The 18,469-nt window shown below is 36.3% G+C and overlaps 1 protein-coding gene across 4 annotated transcripts in view; it reads left to right on the top strand.

The window, feature by feature from the left end:
- Positions 1-18,469, top strand: part of SEC23A (SEC23 homolog A, COPII component) — a 71,317-nt gene that overhangs the window by 27,069 nt on the left and 25,779 nt on the right. For all 4 annotated transcript variants that reach the window (NM_006364.4, XM_005267262.2, XM_011536355.4 and 1 more), the window contains exons 8-13: positions 74-232; positions 1,637-1,752; positions 8,871-8,994; positions 11,174-11,254; positions 12,754-12,843; positions 14,296-14,402. In NM_006364.4, coding sequence (NP_006355.2) covers positions 74-232; positions 1,637-1,752; positions 8,871-8,994; positions 11,174-11,254; positions 12,754-12,843; positions 14,296-14,402 — 677 coding nt within the window. The remainder of the gene's footprint in view (positions 1-73; positions 233-1,636; positions 1,753-8,870; positions 8,995-11,173; positions 11,255-12,753; positions 12,844-14,295; positions 14,403-18,469) is intronic.

Below are 18,469 nucleotides of genomic sequence, written 5' to 3'. Positions count from 1 at the left end.
ATATATAAAAAATTATTATCAGAAATGTATATTCATATGTTTTCTTTTAAACTCTTGACTTTTTTTTTAATAGTGTACTTTTCCCAACACTGGTGCTCGTATCATGATGTTCATTGGTGGTCCTGCTACTCAGGGGCCTGGAATGGTGGTTGGAGATGAGTTGAAGACACCTATAAGATCGTGGCATGACATTGACAAAGACAATGCCAAATATGTTAAAAAGGGAACTAAGGTAATTTTGACTGTTAAATATTTTTGCCTTATTAGAAAACAGGTATTCATTTGCTGGCAGAAGAAGAATACAAATAGTTTTTGATAGAAATTGGTATTATACAGTTTGATACTATAACTGGTATTCAGAATTGGAGAAATATTCATTTTTTCTTGATAATTTGTTGTAATGTTTCTGGTTTGAAATATTTAAACACTTCATAGTACGTGTCAGTAGGTATCTCCTTAAAAATTATTACTGAGAGAAACATTCTATGCCTTTTTAAATATTCATGTTAAAGAATGCCTTTCTGTTTAGGAAAAGTTGTTTTTACATTTTTCAGTTTTTCATTTCCAAGAGGCAGTCCTTAATTTTTCCTTTAGATATGAATATTGTTCATAGCTTAAATAGTCCATCATTTTCTTGTAAGTTGTTTTATGTTCATCTAACTTCCCATTTTTTGGGTTTGTGTAAGTACATTTCACTAATGTTGATTTTTGACTCTCTTATATTCGTTCTATTTGTTAATATCTCTTAATTTTTAAATTCTCTAGAGTTCAGTTTTAATTTGGCTTGTGCTGTATCATGTATTTTTTGATAGTCTTCATCAGTATTATATGTTTAAAAGTAATTTATGACATAATTTTTGCCACTGTTGGTGCTTTTCTTTCCTGCCAACTAATTTCCTTTTTGAGCTTGGAATTTTTCTTGGTTACAGCTTCAAAAAAGGTTTTAGATTCATTTATCTTACTGCTTTTTGTATTTTCTCTATTTTTGGATGTTTTTGTTACTTGGGTATGGATTTAGCTAGGAAAGAGAGTTCTCTGTTGTTTTTCTTTCTTTTTTTTTGAGGCAAAGTCTCGCTCTGTTGCCCAGACTGGAGTACAATGGCATGATCTCCACTCACTGTAAGCTCCATCTCTTGGGTTCATGCCATTCTCCTGCCTCAGCCTCCCTAGTAGCTGGGAATACAGGCACCCACCACCACGCCCGGCTAATTTTTTATATTTTTAGTAGAGACGGGGTTTCACCGTGTTTGCCAGGATGGTCTCGATCTCCTGACCTCATGATCTGCCTGCCTCGGCCTCCCAAAATGCTGGGATTACAGGCGTGAGCCACCACGCCCAGCCTGTTGTTTTTGTGCTATGTTTATATAGGAAGAACAAGATATGCAATAGGACTTTCTTTAAGTTTGGCTTCATTTAGGGGTTTATCTAGAAAGAGTGGCTTTCAAGGAAAATGTGAAAATGTCAGACTCACAGAAGTTGTTGTATAATTTTATTAACATTACAGAAAGTTAAATAACTAATCATAATTTAAATTATGAGTTACTCTTTTAGTCCTTAGATCATTTTGATCTGTTAATGGAAAAAAGATTTATAGGACAATTTTGTATATTATTTTAATTAAGAAAATCTTTTGTAGCATTTTGAAGCATTGGCTAATCGAGCTGCTACAACTGGCCATGTTATTGATATCTATGCGTGTGCATTAGATCAGACAGGTCTCCTGGAGATGAAATGCTGTCCCAACCTTACTGGGTATGTATTTAAATTTTTACAGTTTTTGTAATTATAAGCAAATGATGACATTTACTGATATAAACCAATAATGACCATTTAGGGAAAAGTGTCATCTTCCCACTACTTCAAGGCAACACATCTGTTAGTAGTTTTTGATATTCCTTTCAGTAAAACACACTTTTGAATTTGTTTAAAAATATGGAGTTATAAAGGTCCAACCCTGTTTCTAAAGCTCACTTTGATATCTTGAAGTCATTATTTTGATTTATTACTTCAACAGCATTTTTGAGATAAAATTCACATACCATAAACTTACCATTTAAAATGTACAGTTTGATGCTTTTAGTATATTTACAGGATGCACAGCCATCACCGTAATTTGTTTAGAACATTTGCATTACCCTAGAAACTATGTTCCCATTAGCAGTTACTTCCCATTATTCCCTCCTTTTTCTTCTCACCACCCTCTCATCCTTAGACAGCTGATAATTGCCTGTTCTGGGTATTTTATAAAATGAAATCAGAGGCTGGGTGTGGTGGCTCACGCTTGTAATCCCAGCACTTTGGGAGGCTAAGGCAGGTAGATCATGAGGTCAGGAGTTCAAGACAAGCCTGGCCAAGATGGTGAAACCCTGTCTCTACTAAAAATACAAAAATTAGGTGGGCGTGGTGGCAGGCACCTGTAATCCCAGCTACTCGGTAGGCTGAGGCAGGAGAATTGCTTGAACCCGGGTGGCAGAGGTTGCAGTGAGCTGAGATCATGCCACTGCACTCCAGCCTTGGCGATAGAGTTAGACTCCGTCTCAAAAAAAAAAAAAAAAAAAAAAAAGAGGAATCAGAGCCGGGCACCGTGGCTCCCAACTGTAATCCTAGCACTTTGAGAAGCCGAGGTGGGAGGATTATCTGAAGTCAGGAGTTCAAGACCAGCCTGGCCAACATGGTGAAACCCTGTCTCTACTAAAAAACATAAAAATTAGCTGGGCGTGGTGGCACGTGGCTGTAATCCCAGCTACTCAGGAGGCTGAGGCAGGAGAATCACTTGAACCTGGAGGTGGAGGTTTCAGTGAGCCAAGAAGATTGTGCCACTGCACTCCAGCCTGGGCCACAGAGTGAGACTCTGTTTCAAAAAGAAGGGAATCAAATGGTCTCTTGTGATTGGTTTCTTTTACTCAGCATAATGTTTTCAAGGTTCATCCAGACTGTAGAATGTACTAATATTTTATTTTATTTTATTTTATTTTTACTGCTGAGTAAAAAGGGAACAAGGGGCTAAAGTGCATTTAATAGTATTCCATTTGATGGATACACCACATTTTGTTTAGGAATCCATCAGTTAATGAACATTTCATTTCCACTTTTTGGCTACTGTGAATAATGGTCCTTTGAACATCGTGTTCAAGTTTTGGTGTGGAGATTATGTTTTTGTTTCTCTTAGGTATATATCTAGGAGCAGAATTGTTGCATCACATAGTAATCTGTCCTTAACATTTTGAGGAACTGTCTAACGATTTTCCCAAGTAACTGTACCAATTTAAATTCCCATTACCAAAGTATGAGGATTCCAGTTTCTCCACATCTTTGTCAGCACTTGTCGTTGTCTGTATTTTAATTAATTTTTTTTAGATGGGGTCTTTCTCTGTTACTGAGGCTGGAGTGCGGGGTGCAGTCATAGCTCACTGTAGCCACAATGTCCAGGGCTCAAGCAATCCTCTCACCTCAGCCTCCTGAGTAGCTGGGACTACAGGCACATGCTACCACACCTAGCTAATTATTAATACTTTTTTTTTGTGGAGACGAGGTCTCACTTTGTTGCCCAGGCTGGTCTCGAACTCCTGGGCTCGATCCTCCTGCCTCTGCCTCTCAAAGTGCTGGGATTACAGGTGTGAGCCACCGTGCCCAGCTTATTGTCTGTCTTTTTGATGATATCTGTCCTAGTGGGTGTGAAGTAATATCTCATTGTGGTTTTCATTTGCATTTCCCTGAAGACTAATGATGTTGAGCATCTTTTTATGTGCTTACTGGCCATGTGTATATCTTTGGAGAAATGTCTATTCAGATTCTTTACCCATTTTTAATTTGGGCTATTGATTTTCTTTTTATTGAGTTAAAATAGTTTGTTATTTGGATATAAATCCCTTTATCAGATATATGACTTACAGATATTTTCTCTTATGGGTTTTTTCCCTCACTTTTTTTTTTTTGAGACAGAGTCTCACTTTGTCACCCAGGCAAGAGTGCAGTGGTGCGATCTAGGCTCACTGGAACTTCTGCCTCCTGGGTTCAAGTGTTTCTCCTATCTTAGCTTCCCCAGTAGCTGGAATTACAGGTGTGCACCACCACACCCGACTATTTTGTATTTTTAGTAGAGACAGGGTTTCATTATGTTGGCCAGGCTGGTCTCGAATTCCTGATCTCAAGAGATCCACCCACCTCGGCCTCCTAAAATTCTGGGATTACAGGTGTGAGCCACCCCGCCCGGCCTCCCTCACATTCTTGATGGTATTGTTTGCAGCACAAAAGTTTTAAATTTTGATGAAACCTATTTCATGCTTTTTCTTTCTTTTTTATTTTGAGACGGAGTCGCTCTGTCACCCAGGCTGGAGTGCAGTGGCGTGATCTCGGTTCACTGCAACTTCTTCCTCCCAGGTTCAAGCGATTCTCCTGCCTCAGCCCAAGTAGCTGGGACTACAAGCGCCTGCCACCACGCCCAACTAATTTGTTTTTGTATTTTTAGTAGAGACTGGGTTTCACCATGTTGGCCAGGCTGGTCTTGAACTCCTGTCCTTGTGATCTGCCTTCCTCGGCCTCCGAAAGTGCTAGGATTACAGGCCTGAGCCACCGTGCCCAGCCTTGATTTTAAAAAATTTTTTAATTTTTAAATTTTGAGACAGAGTCTCACTGTGTTGCCCAGGCTGGAGTGCAGTGGTGCGATCTCAGCTCACTGCAACCTCTGCCTCCCAGGTTCAGCAGATTCTTGTGCCTCAGCCTTCCAGGTATCTGGATTACAGGCATGTAGCACCATGCCTGGCTAATTTTCATATTTATTTCAAGTTATCTGCCCGTCTTGGCCTACCAAAGAGAGCTGGGATTACAGGCATGAGCCACTGTGCCCGTCCAACAATTGATTTTTATATGTTGATTTTACCCCCTGCAACCTTGTGGAACTTGTTTATTAGTTTTAATAGTTTTTCTGTGGACTTCTTAGGATTTTCCCTATATAACATCATGCCATCTGCAAATTGGTATTGTTTTACTTCTTCCTTCCCACCTGCATGCTTTTTCTTTTCCTTGCCTAATTGCCCTGGCTGGAATGTCCAGTACAGGATTAAAAATGTGAGAGTGAATATCCTTGTGTTGTTCTTGATCTTCGGGGTAAGTCGTTTAGTCTTTTTTTTTTCTTTTTTTGAGATGGAGTTTCCCTCTTGTTGCCCAAGCTGGAGTGCAGTGGCACGATCTCGGCTCACTGCAACCTCCGCCCCCTGGGTTCAAGTGATTCTGCTGCCTCAGCCTCCTGAGTAGCTGGGACTACAGGCATGCGCCACTACGTCCAGCTAATTTTTGTATTTTTAGTAGAGACGGGGTTTCACCATGTTGGTCAGGCTAGTCTCGGACTCCTGACCTCAGGTGATCCACCTGCCATGGCCTCCCAAAGTGCTGGGATTATAGGCATGAGCTACCGTGTCCAGCCCTGTTTAGTCTTCTACCATTAGAAGATATTAGCTGTGGATTTCATCAGATTGAATAAGTTCCCTTCCAAAAACTCTCATGAAAATGTGTTTTTGGGATTTTGTTAAATGCTGTTTCTATAGCTATTGATATGATCATGTGACTTTTGTCCTTATTAATATGGTATATTGCACTGATTTTTGGATTTTAAACCTACCTTGCATTTCTGGGATGAATCTCACTTGGTCATGGCGTATAATCCTTTTTATTATTGCTAAATTCAATTTGCTGTCATTTTGTTGAGGATTTTTGCATCTGTCTTCATAGGAGATACTGGCCTGTAGTTTTCTTTTGTTTGGTGTTGGCATCAGGGTAACTGTCGTCACAGAATGACCTGGGATGTGTTCTTTCCTCTTCCATGAGCAGTTATTATTTTTGAAATAATTTAATTAGGCTTAAAAATCAATTAGATATGTCAACACTTTCTCAGGTTTATTTATTTAATTCATTCATCTAATAAATATGAATGAGCACCTGCTATGTAGCCAACTGCTCAAGGCACTGCAAGTAAAGCAGTGAACTAAACGTAAAAATCTTTGCCCGCATGGAGCTTATCTTCTAGCGCAGGGCTCTTCCGTATAATTTCGCAATGGATATATTCTTTGTGCTGTCCCATTGAAATGTGGCAAGTATGACTGAGGAACTAAAATTTAATTTTAATTGCTTTACATTTAAATTTAACTAGCCACATGTTAGTACAGTTCTAATGAGAGGAGATAGGATAAGTATGGTAGATAGGATGTCAGATGGTGATAGCATTGGGAAGAAAAAAGTTCAGGAAAGAAGAATTGGGGTTTGCAGTTCTAAATAGGATGAATAGGCAGAGCCTTATTGAAGGTGATATTTTAGCAAAGATGTAAGCAAGTGAGAGTGAGCCATGTGCATATATGAAGTAAGAGTGTTCCAAGTGAGGAATAGCAAGTACAAAGTTGAGAATGTACCTGGGGCCAGGCGCTGTGGCTCACACCTGTGTAATCCTAGCACTTTGGGAGGCTGAGGTGGGTGGACTGCTTGAGCTCAGGAGTTTGAGACCAGTCTGGGCAACATGGTGAAACCCTGTCTCTACCAAAAATACAAAAATTGGCTGGGCATGGTGGTGTGCGCCTGTGGTCCCAGCTACTTGGGAGGCTGAGGTGGGAGGATTGCTGGAGCTTGGGAAGTCGAGGCTGTGGTGAGCCATGATCGCATCACTGCACTCCAGCCTGGGTGACAGAGTGAGACCTGGGCTCAAAAAATAATAATAATAAAGAGAATGTACCTGTGATGTTGAGAAATAGCAAGGAGAACAAAGTAGCTGGAATGGAGTGAGTGAGGAGGGTAGGTTACAAAGTCCGTTTACCTTTTTAAAGGGCTTTGGACTTTACCTTGAGTGAGATGGGAAGGCGTTGGAGAGTTTTCAACAGAGGAGTTTTATGATCTGACTTAATAGTTTAAAAGGATCGCTGAATTCATTTGTCATTTGTAGAGTATAGGGATGTAAGAATACCAAGTGATGGTAGCACAGATGGTGGGAAGTAGTTGGATTTTGGATATATTTGGAAAATAGATGTAAGGGTGTGGACAATTCCTTCATAGAGGTTTACTGTAAAAGGGAGCAGAGAAATGGGGTGGTATAAATTGTCATTAATCTAGGATGTATTATCAGGTATAATGATGACTTAGATCATCATAGATAACATGTTTGTAGAAAATCTGAAAGAATTTATAAACTATTGGTATTAATATGTGAAGTTGGCAAGACTTCTGGATCAAGGTCAGTGTACAAAGTTTAATTATAAATTTATGTACCAGTAACATTAAAAAATTTAAAAGGATACAATTTCTAATAAGCATCAGAGATAACAAAAACTTCTAATAATATCAAAAGTAAAATTATGGTCAATTAGTTATAACACATCAGTTTTATTCTTTTGCCTATTTTAATTTTTGATTGTATCTTTTATTGATGTTTAATACTTAAAATATTTTAAAAATGTGAGCAAGTGTATCTAAATATTTGTATGCATGTGTATCATATAAACAATATTTTATACATCTTTCCTCTCTTTGTGTTTTTCACTTGTATCCTAGAAATCAGTCTGTAGCAGTGTATTACTCCATTGTGTGGATGTAATATTTTTTCAACTAGTCTCTAATTACATGATTATTTGGATTGTTTTCAGTTTTCTGTTATTCTGAGTTTGTGTTTGAAATACAGTATTTCAAACACAAGGGAAAAAGGAAAAAAACTTTTGTTGTTACAAATAGTGCTTCAGCGAATAACCTTGTGAATATATTTTGTTTTTCTGTTTTTGTTTTGTTAGAGTATCTTTGGAATAGATTACTATTAGTGGGGTGGCTGGATTAAGGAGGAAATCCATATATAATTTTGTTAGATATTATCAAGTTACTCTGTACTGGGGTTGTACCATTTTGCAGTCCCAGCAGAAGTGTATGAGAGTGCCTGTTTTTCCATAGCCTCACCAACATAATATGTTGCTGTCAAACTGATTTTTGCCAATCTATTAGAGAAGGAATGGTATCAAAATAGTTTTTAACTTTCAAGTTAATATTAAAATTTTTTTAATTAAAAAAGTAGGTATATGCTTATTAAAAAAATTAAAAATAAGTGCAAAAAGTGAAAATACTCTCAATTTTCTTCCATTCTCATTTGCTTGGTATAACATGTATATTTCATGTGACACAGATAGTACATGCATATACATACACACACATACTTGTTTTTAAGAGTGAGAATGGGCCAGGTGGGTGGCTCATGCCTGTAATCCCAGCACCTTGGCAGCCCGAGGTGAGCATATTGTTTGAGCCCAGAAGTTCAAGACCAACCTGGGCAACATGGCAAAACCCTATCTCTACAAAAAAACAAAAAAATTAGCTGGGCGTGTTGGTGCAACCTGTAGTCCAGCTACTTGGGAGGCTGAGGTAGGAGGATGACTTGAGCCCAGGAGGTTGTGGCTGCAGTGAGCCGTGATTGTTCCACTGCACTCCAGCCTAGGCAACAGAGTGAGACCCTGTCTGAAAAAAAAAAAAAAAAAAAAAAGAGAATGCATGCTGGAAACTGTCAGGTACCTTTACCAATATGGAGAACATTTGTTACTATATACTCTTCTGTACCTTTTGAATTTTGTAATATGGTGGATATATTGCCTATTTAAAGAAGAATTTTTTTTTAAATTACCAAGGACAAATGCAACTGTTAGGGGTACTCTGTTACCTTCGGAATTGAGATTATTTGTGGGGTGAGGATATTCTCATATATATTTGAATATTAAAAATTAGTAATACAGCACATTTTGGGAAATATCTTTAAAATTTATTGGTAGTTTTGAGAGGTAATTTTCTTCTACGATTTTAACACACGGACTCAGTAACTGTGTCAAGTATGTTGTTTTTTTGTTCTTTCCATGCAGAGGATACATGGTAATGGGTGATTCTTTCAATACTTCCTTATTCAAACAAACTTTTCAAAGAGTCTTTACCAAAGACATGCATGGACAGTTTAAAATGGGCTTTGGTGGTACGCTAGAAATAAAGGTAAGAACCAAAACTTGACATGTGCGATATGTTATCAAAAGACAACTTATAGGCTTGAGTGTAATTCTAAAATGCCATTAATCAAATTTAATATTTACTTTCAAAATTGTGGTTATTTTATATTGAAACCTGAGTTAGAGATTTTCTTCACCAGAAGAGTGTCATCATTCAATGTGTGAGACTTTACTTGAGCATTTCTGAACAATTGTTAGAAAAGTAGAACAATATTGGTAAAATATTCTTTAACTTTTTAATTTTTTTCTTTATATAGGGCTTAGCTCTTTAAAGTATGTTTTATCTTCTTTTTTTTGAGACAGAGTCTTCCTCTGTCGCCCAGGCTAGAGTGCAGTGGCATGATGTTGTCTCACTGCAGCCTCCGCCTCCTGGGTTCAAGTGATTCTCCAGCCTCAGCCTCCTGAGTAGCTGGGACTACAGGTGTGTGCCACTGTGTCTGTCTAATTTGTGTTTTTAGTAGAGACGCAGTGTCACCATGTTGGCCAGGCTGGTCTCGAACTCCTGACCTCAGGTGATCTGCCTGTCTCAGCTTTCCAAAGTGCTGAGATTACAGACATGAGCCACCACGTCTGGCCTGTTCTATCATTTGTAGAGCCAAATCTATTTATGTTAGTGCTAGGTTAATGATAGGAATTGTTATCTAACTTAAGAGGAAACTGTTTTTTTTAAAAAAAAAAAAGAGGAAACTGTTTTTTACCTTTCGGATAATCAGTAATTGTTTTATGATTAGTTGTTATTGCATAATTCTATCATTTATTTCAAATTTGGATTTAAAATACCCAAAGGCTAAGTGCTTCTAATCCTAATTGATTCTTATTAAATTAACTCTAAGCACATTAATTTTGAATTTTCATTAAATATTTATTAATCTTGTTTTATTGAATGCTTGCTATATGCCCAACATTGCTTGGGAAATTACAGAGATGCCTAGGGATATCTAAGGTACACGTCTTGCTATAGAGAAACTTAGCATTCTCTTGATAGAGAGGCAGGGAAAGAAAACACTGCATGTAATAGAATGACATAATGGTAAATTATAAAAACACTATAAAGGTTTAGAGAAGAAAAATGAACATATATAGGACACAATTTATTCTAGACTTCTAGAGGAGTGTGACTTATAGTTTTTTTTTTTTTTTTTTTTTTTTTTTTTTTTTTTTGAGATGGAGTTTCGCTCTTATTGCCCGGCTGGAGTGCAATGTCATGATCTCAGCTCACTATAACCTCTGCCTCCTGGGTTCAAGCAATTCTCCTGCCTCACCCTCCCGAGTAGCTGGGATTACAGGCATGTGCCACCATGCCCAGCTAATTTTGTGTTTTTAGTAGAGATGGGGTTTCTCCATGTTGGTCAGGCTGGTCTTGAACTCCCGACCTTGGGTGATCCACCTGCCTCAGCCTCTCAAAGTGTTGGGATTACAGGCGTGAGCTACCGCGCCTGGCCACAGTTGTTTTCTTAAAGATGTTAGAGGATATTGCATTTTATTCAGGAACCCAGTGTGAGGAGAGGCATAGAGGTGAGAATCAGCATTGTATGTTTGAGAAAACTGCCCAGTGAGAGTAGATGCTTTGTATTTGAATGAAAGGAAATAGCTTAAATCTGTGGGAGCTGGCTGTAGTGTGGAGACACATGTGTAGGCAGAAGTCATTAGGTATTTTGGGTAAGATTCATCTGACAGTGGTATTCTGCATATGTCAGGAAAAAGAATCTCAAGTAAGAAAACAAAAGTAAGCTTTCCAATTTTTTTTTTTTTAGACAGAAGGTATTGTGATAGCTTACATTTTGGTGGCAGGAGAGACTGGGGGGAGACCAATCTTGGTGACAGATTTTCTATGGGAGGAAAAATAGAATAGGGTGTCTAAGGTTTTAGATTAGGATATGTGAATTTTGGGTGGGTAGGTAGAAGTGTGAAGTCAGGATGAGGTTCCCAAATGGAGACCTCGTATGTGCTAATGGAAATAGAAGGTTAACATTAGGTTGGTGCCAGATTTTAAATTTGACAGTGAGCATAGAAGTGCTTATTGATTGATTATTTTTCATGTTAGTATATTTTCATTGGCTTTGAGTTTTAAATATAGATGAATATCTTATATTCTTATACACCTGTAGTTGAACATTTGAACGTATCTTTGAGGAAACCGAACATGCTGTATTCTTATTTTGCAGACCTCAAGGGAAATAAAGATTTCAGGAGCTATTGGACCCTGTGTGTCACTCAATTCTAAAGGACCCTGTGTGTCTGAAAATGTAAGTTGTGTTTATTCTAAAAAGAAAATACAGGACCAGGAACTGTGGCTTGCACCTGTAATCCCAGGTACTTGGGAAGCTGAGGCAGGAGGATTGCTTAAGCCCAGGAGTTAGAGACCAGCTCAGGCAACATAGAGAGACCCTGTTCCCCTCCTGTTATCCCCCCAAAAAAGAAAAAAAGACACAGCGAACGCACAGGACAGCACCAATAAAAACTTGGGGTGGCAGCCTATAGCATTCCTTTCAAAATTCTTATATTGATTGTTTTAGGTAGTTCAGCTCCCATTGGTATACCTCTATTCATGGTTGCTCTTTCTGCATACCCTTTTCCCATCCATCCCTAATTAAAACTTTTGTACTGTCACCAGTCTTCTATTTTTTATGCCTAAATTATGTCTTGCCCCAGTGTGCCTAAAAAAAAACAAAAACAAAAAAAACTCATGATTTGGAAATTTGGAGACTTCTGAAAGTCAAAATTAGCTCTAAATTGATTTTTGATACCAGAATTTTCAAAAAAGTAACCAAATTAGCCAGATTTGGAATTTCAGTTCTTTATGTTCTTTTTATCCAATTTAATGGAAGTATAACGTACTCTAAAATGGTAGAATCATGTAGCTGTGGAGAGGATGATGGGACAAATAATACAAAGTGGGTAATCAACTTTAAAAATGACAAAGCTAAAAAATTAATATGTACAAGCAGTTTGCGTGGTAAAGGTCTGTCTATATCTATGACGTTTTCTTGGGAATCAGAGTGCTTAACAATTCTCATCCAGAGAACATGTGTTCGTAAATGCATATATTATATGTTAAATCAGTTTCTCTTTATACAGATCAAGTAGTTGGATAGAAGGATAATGTTAGTTGCAATTACTTCATTAAATAGCATATACTTTTATTTTTTATTTTATTTTTTTTGAGACGGAGTCTCGCTTTGCCTCGCAGGTTGGAGTGCAGTGGCGCCTTCTCGGCTCACTGCAAGCTCCGCCTCCTAGGTTCACGCCATTCTCCTGCCTCAGCCTTCCAAATAGCTGGGACTACAGGCGTCCGCCAGCATGCCTGGCTGATTTTTTGTGTTTTTAGTAGAGATGGGGTTTCACCGTGTTAGCCAGGATGGTCTCCATCTCCTGACCTTGTGATCTGCCCGCCTCAGCCTCCCAAAGTACTGGGATTACAGGTGGGAGCCACCGCCCCTGGCCAAATAGCATATGCTTTTAAAGAGAACAGTATGAAGAACTTATATTAATACTTTTGTAATTTACTTAGCAAGAATTTAAATTTTACTTTTATTATGTAAAAATTATTTTATTTTTTATTATGTAAAAATGCTTTATTTTATAATATACTTATGGTCTTAAAATATTTTAAGCTCTTAACATTGTTGAATTAGTTTGAAACATGACTTTTTTTTTTCCTGTGGTCTTTTTCCATTTTCACTTTAATATAAAATTAATAAATTGTGTCTCTAGCTTTCAAACATGCTATATTTTATTTTTACAGGAGATAGGAACAGGTGGCACATGTCAGTGGAAGATATGTGGACTTAGTCCCACTACAACCTTAGCCATATATTTTGAGGTTGTCAATCAGGTATGACTTTCTACATCTGAATATCAAAACGTACAACGTACATTTGAATAAGTACTTACTTTAGGCCATGAATAGTTCATATTTTTTTTCCTATAGTAGATATAACCCAACATTTATTTTCTGTATTGGAATTTATATTTGTCGTTTTTTATTTTTCAAGGCTAAACTCCTTGGTGAGAGTACATATTGTAATAGAAATGCAGGGAAACCTACAAACGCCAAACCTTGGGTAGCCCAACTTTTAGTCTGTTTTCTTTCTTTCTTTTTTTTGAATATAAAATTGAAGGATAAATGCAGTTATTTAAAATTCCCTTCTAGCTACACATTTTTGCAATTAGATGTCTAGCTTTTCCTAGTTGTCAGAAAGTATATATGACATATGAGTCTTTGTACAAGAAGGTCTAATATGTCAAAATCCATAGAAAAAGTTTGGAAAGTAATCGTATTTGGGAAGATTTTTTTTTCTGCCACAGGAGATAATTAATCACATTGAAGAATAACACAAATTACTGACTTATATATTAATAGTTTTTAGCCATAAAATGAACCACAAAATATTAACAGTCAGCTTTCCTAAGGCAGGTGCAATAGTTTTTTTTTAAACATTAAAATTTATAAGAAATATATTGACTCTTATTGACAAAAACAAAACAACACACAAAAACAAAGCAAGAATGTCTGTTGTCAGAATGCAGGAATAAAGTTTTCCTATTGATTACTTGTATTTCTTTCTGATGATAATTATTATATATTGCTATTAGTTTCTTCTCATTATTAATCTTTCATTGGTTGGTTGTTCATCATATGATTATGTTCCTAAAAGTTCTGCTTTCATCTTCTATACCTAGGGGAGGAGGACTTAGCTCAATTTCTGTTTATCTAGTTACAAGTTGAACATCTCAGATCTGAAATCTGAAATGTTTCAAAATCTGGAACTTTCTGAATGCTGACATGACACTCAAAGAAAATGCTCATTGGAGAGCATTTTGGATTTTGGATTTTTGGATTTGGGGATCTTCAATTGGTATAAGGCAAATATTCCTGAGTTTAAAAAAATACAAAATCCAAAACATTTCGGGTCCCAAGCATTTTGGATAAGGGATATTCAATCTGTGCAGTTTGGCTTAAATGGCTTCACTTAGGAATTGTCTTTTAATTTCTTTGTGCTCTCCCTTTTCTTTGTTCTTTCATGTCCCTCTGGCTTATATATTACTTGAAAATTGATTTCCTAGCAGGACTGACTTCTATCATTCTTGATTATTTTCCTCCTCTCCAAATTAATTTCTCCTCTTCTGTGTAACAAATTATAACTGTTTTGAATGCACTGGAAATAAGTATCCTTCTAATCAATTTTAGAATGAATTATTTTTAGTGCTAGGACATGTAGCCTGTGATTATATGACAACAGCATAGTAAATTTTGCTTAGGTTTTACTCCATTATATTTATACAGCATAATGCTCCAATTCCTCAAGGAGGGCGTGGTGCAATCCAGTTTGTGACTCAGTATCAGCATTCAAGTGGGCAGAGACGCATCCGAGTGACCACCATTGCTAGGAAGTAAGTTGTATTTGTTAGAGATTTGATTTTCATATCACAGGTATCTGGGTTGTGTTTCCAAACTGGATTCCTATTTTGGGTGACATCCATGACTAGCAAGTGAATATTTGTGACTAATAGTATTTTATTTATTTCTTTCTAACCCAGCTTATTTGCTACAATATGCATTACTAAGAACCGTAAGAGCAATTTTAAAAAGTACTTCTAAGACACACCCTTCAAAATATTATTTTATTTACCTCATTCCTGTGAGAGGAGAAAAATCAGATATTTACCTATAATAGTCAATAATAATATATATAATCCATTATATATATAAATGATATAGCACAGTAATTAATCACATTACTTTTCAATTAGTGATAAAAATTCTTAGCTATTTTTTTTTCAAGTTTTATTAGTCATTTAATTCATTTATTATGCCATTACTCAGCTTCTGCTTTGTGGAGTAGGTTCTGTTTTAGGAGAGTATGAATGCGGAAGCCGTGAACGTACTTAGCCTCCTGCTGTATGACAGTGTGGTATAGAGTCATCCTCACATTGTCTGTGGTAAAGGGCCAGTTGTGTTTTTTTTCCTAATCCTTCGGGTACAGATGCTTTTATTAAATACAATAAAAATGAATTACTAGAAAAATGAAATTTTAAAAAGTGATTTAAAACAAACTCCCTGTTTTATATTATTAGATTAATAAGATATAAGATTATTTTGTGAAGTTGCTCAGTTTCTAAATATTTATTCTCAGTTCCTCTTTTGACTTCATGGCACTGGTTCACATACCACACTTTGACTAGCACTTGTTGAGACCACAAAAGGTAAAGTCTCTATCTAACAGATTCAATTATAGGGTAGTATTTTGTGTAACATAGTCATGTTCTAATTTATTGATATAGGCAGGGTCCCCAGAAGGGAATAATAAGGCCCAACAGATACCTTTTCTTATTCCTATCTTTGTGATAGATTTTCCAAATAAGGCATGTATTTGTTCATGGGCTCTTTGCCCAGCATTTGCAGAGACAACAAATTTAACTGAATTTAGTACCTTTCTTTTTATTAAGAATTACGAATAAATTATTTCTCTGCTACTTTGGTATCTCTGTGTATTTGTGAAGTATAAAACAAAAGGAAAATAATTGTGGAATGAGTTTAGTTAGGAAGAGGTTTTTTAGATGAGGTGAATCTAGAAATGAACAGGCTTTGGTCTTTATTTCTGTTTGTCTTGAACTTGGTTGTCTGGATAGGAAAAGTGTTGATCAGTAAACTTACCCAGTTTAGTCATGGTCTCGACAATGGACAAGGAAGGCATTTGTAGCTCTCATTTTCATTAAGTGTACTTAAACTCTAGCTTCATTCCTGAAAATCTTAAGACTTTTGTTGAGTGATGGACATGAACACAACATTTGAACTGAGTATTAGCTGTATTGGGTGATCTATTACTTAGCACAGGGTTGTACATAGATTTAGTGTTCTGTTCTGTTACCTTGCTTTGACTTAACATCCTGGAACAATGTCAAGGGGATACATTATTCATTTGAAGAAAAAATGTCAGCTGAACCTTCCCTTAGATTTATTCAGATTTCAGATAAGGAACTTGGAAGTACTGATGCTTGGCAAACTTCTCAGTTTATTTATGGCTCTCAACGTGTGTGCACACACACACACATGTGTGTGCACACATTAAATTTGACATTCAGAACATTTGCTTAAGGAAACAACGACATACCAAATGAAGGACTTTTTACAACTTACAAAGTCACTGGTTTGTACTATTCAAAAATGTCTTGGAAGACAAAGAAAGTCTGAGCAACTGATCCAGATTAAAGGATACTAAAGAAACATTACCACTAATGCCAATGTGTGATCATGGACAAAATGCAAATGTCAGGGAAAAATTTTGCTTTAGAAGCCATTATTAGACAATTGGGGAAATATGAATATAGTCTCTTTCTATATGATAATGGCATTATATCAGTGTTAGATTTCATGAGTTTAATAATTGGAGCTATATAAGAAAATTTTTTGTTCTTAGGAGATATACACTGAAGTATTTCAGGCAGAAGGTCATAATATCTCCAACTTAATCTAGAAAAGTTCAGCAAAAAATGTGTATATAAATGGAGAGAGAGAATGATAATGCAGATGTGTTAAAATGCTAACAACTGATGAATCTAGGTGATGGTTATATAGGAGTTTATTCCACTCTTACTGTCTTTATGTTTGAAATATTTTTAAAATGAAAATTTTAAAAGGTTAGGTGACTCTTTCAAGAGACAGGGTGCTGTCTTATGAGAAATATTATGGGCTTATATATTTTCAGTTTGCACAGAATTTATGAGGCTATTTGTAGAGACATATGTGTGTTATGGTGCCATTTATAGCATTGTGTCTTACCAAAAGCATCCGTCTTTTCAAGTTAACTTATCCCAACCATTTCCAATGATCAGAGCACCTTGTTGTTTTTTTTTTTTTTTTTTTTTTTTTTTTTTTTAAACTAGGACTATGACTTTAGGGGCCTAGACAAGTGTTTTTGTTAAGTGAATAAGCCATATGAAAATAAAGGCTCCTGAGAAGACAAAGTTACTCTATTTTTCATGTACAAAATGACTTTGATCTAGGAATTTTGGTTTAAACTAGTTGTAAGAATCACAGTGAAGGGATACGGGAAATGTAGAAGACAGATTTTTACAATGTCAAGAAGCCCTTTAAACTTGACTTTAAGAGCCCACCTTTTAATTTATGTCTAAACAAATAATAATTAGTAAATTTGCATGTGTTCACTTGGAATGTATTTCCTCTCCTGCACCATTATATTTTCAGAATTAAAAAAGTCACCTTTGTAGTTCAGTTTAAAGCAAATAAATACCGTCATTCAAGTTTAGAAAGTATTGATTCAAACAGTGTTGTTTTAAATTCTTTGATTTTTAAAATTAAAACTAAAATAATTAATAAAACACTAAACCAAACTATTAGTATAATCATGAAGTCTTTAAATTGCATTAAAACATAACTTTCAAAATTACCAATGTCTTCTTTTACACATTCTCAGTCTTTTTTGCTTCTTACTGTTTACTACACTGAGATAATTCACACGTTTCAACCATCTGGGAAACATTTAATAATTATTTTGCTTATTGAAAGAAAATTAAAAATACAGAAAGAAGGCCGGGCGCGGTGGCTCACGCCTGTAATCCCAGCACTTTGGGAGGCCAAGGCGGGTGGATCATGAGGTCAGGAGATCAAGACCATCCTGGCTAACAAGGTGAAACCCCGTCTCTACTAAAAATACAAAAAATTAGCCGGGCGTGGTGGCGGGCACCTGTAGTCCCAGCTATTTGGGAGGCTGAGGCAGGAGAATGGCGTGAACCCGGGAAGCGGAGCTTGCAGTGAGCCGAGATTGCGCCACTGCAGTCCGCAGTCCAGCCTGGGCGACAGAGCGAGACTCCGTCTCAAAAAATAAAAAAAATTAAAAAAAAAAAAAAATACAGAAAGAAGGGAGAAGAATTTTAAACATGCTGCTGCCTGAATTCCCTTAGGATCACTCATCACTCTTACATGTAAAAGTGGTTCAGCACTTATTTTCAGGAAGTCTATAAGTATGTCTGGCCAGTCACTATATCTGAAATATTAAACAAACAAACAAACAGATAAAATGTATTGCTGGGTCTACCTAGGTTCAGTTTGATCTGAGTCTACCCAGGATCAGTTGGATTTATACAGCATTTGGATTTAATAAATTGCTGCTATTTTATGTGTAGTATCAAATTAATCCCTTAGACTGAAGTTTTTACTTATTAACTTTTAATTGGTTTTAGTCAGTGTATTAACATGGAAATAAAAGAATACAAAGTAATTTTAATTATTTGATTTTTATCACTAATGATTGAAAGACCAATGAGAAACTTCCGACACTTTATTCATTTTCCAGTGGAATAAACAAGAATTACTTAGGTTGAGAGAAAACCTTTATTTTTGTATTTCTATATTTCTGCTTTAACAAAATTAAATAAATGAAATTTTAAAGTTGGATATAGGGACTTGCATATCTATGTGTGTGGGCACACGTATATCC

Source organism: Homo sapiens, chromosome 14 (assembly GCF_000001405.40).
Source record: "Homo sapiens chromosome 14, GRCh38.p14 Primary Assembly".
Classification (NCBI taxonomy): domain Eukaryota; kingdom Metazoa; phylum Chordata; class Mammalia; order Primates; family Hominidae; genus Homo; species Homo sapiens.
This window is presented reverse-complemented; position numbering and strand designations above follow the sequence as displayed.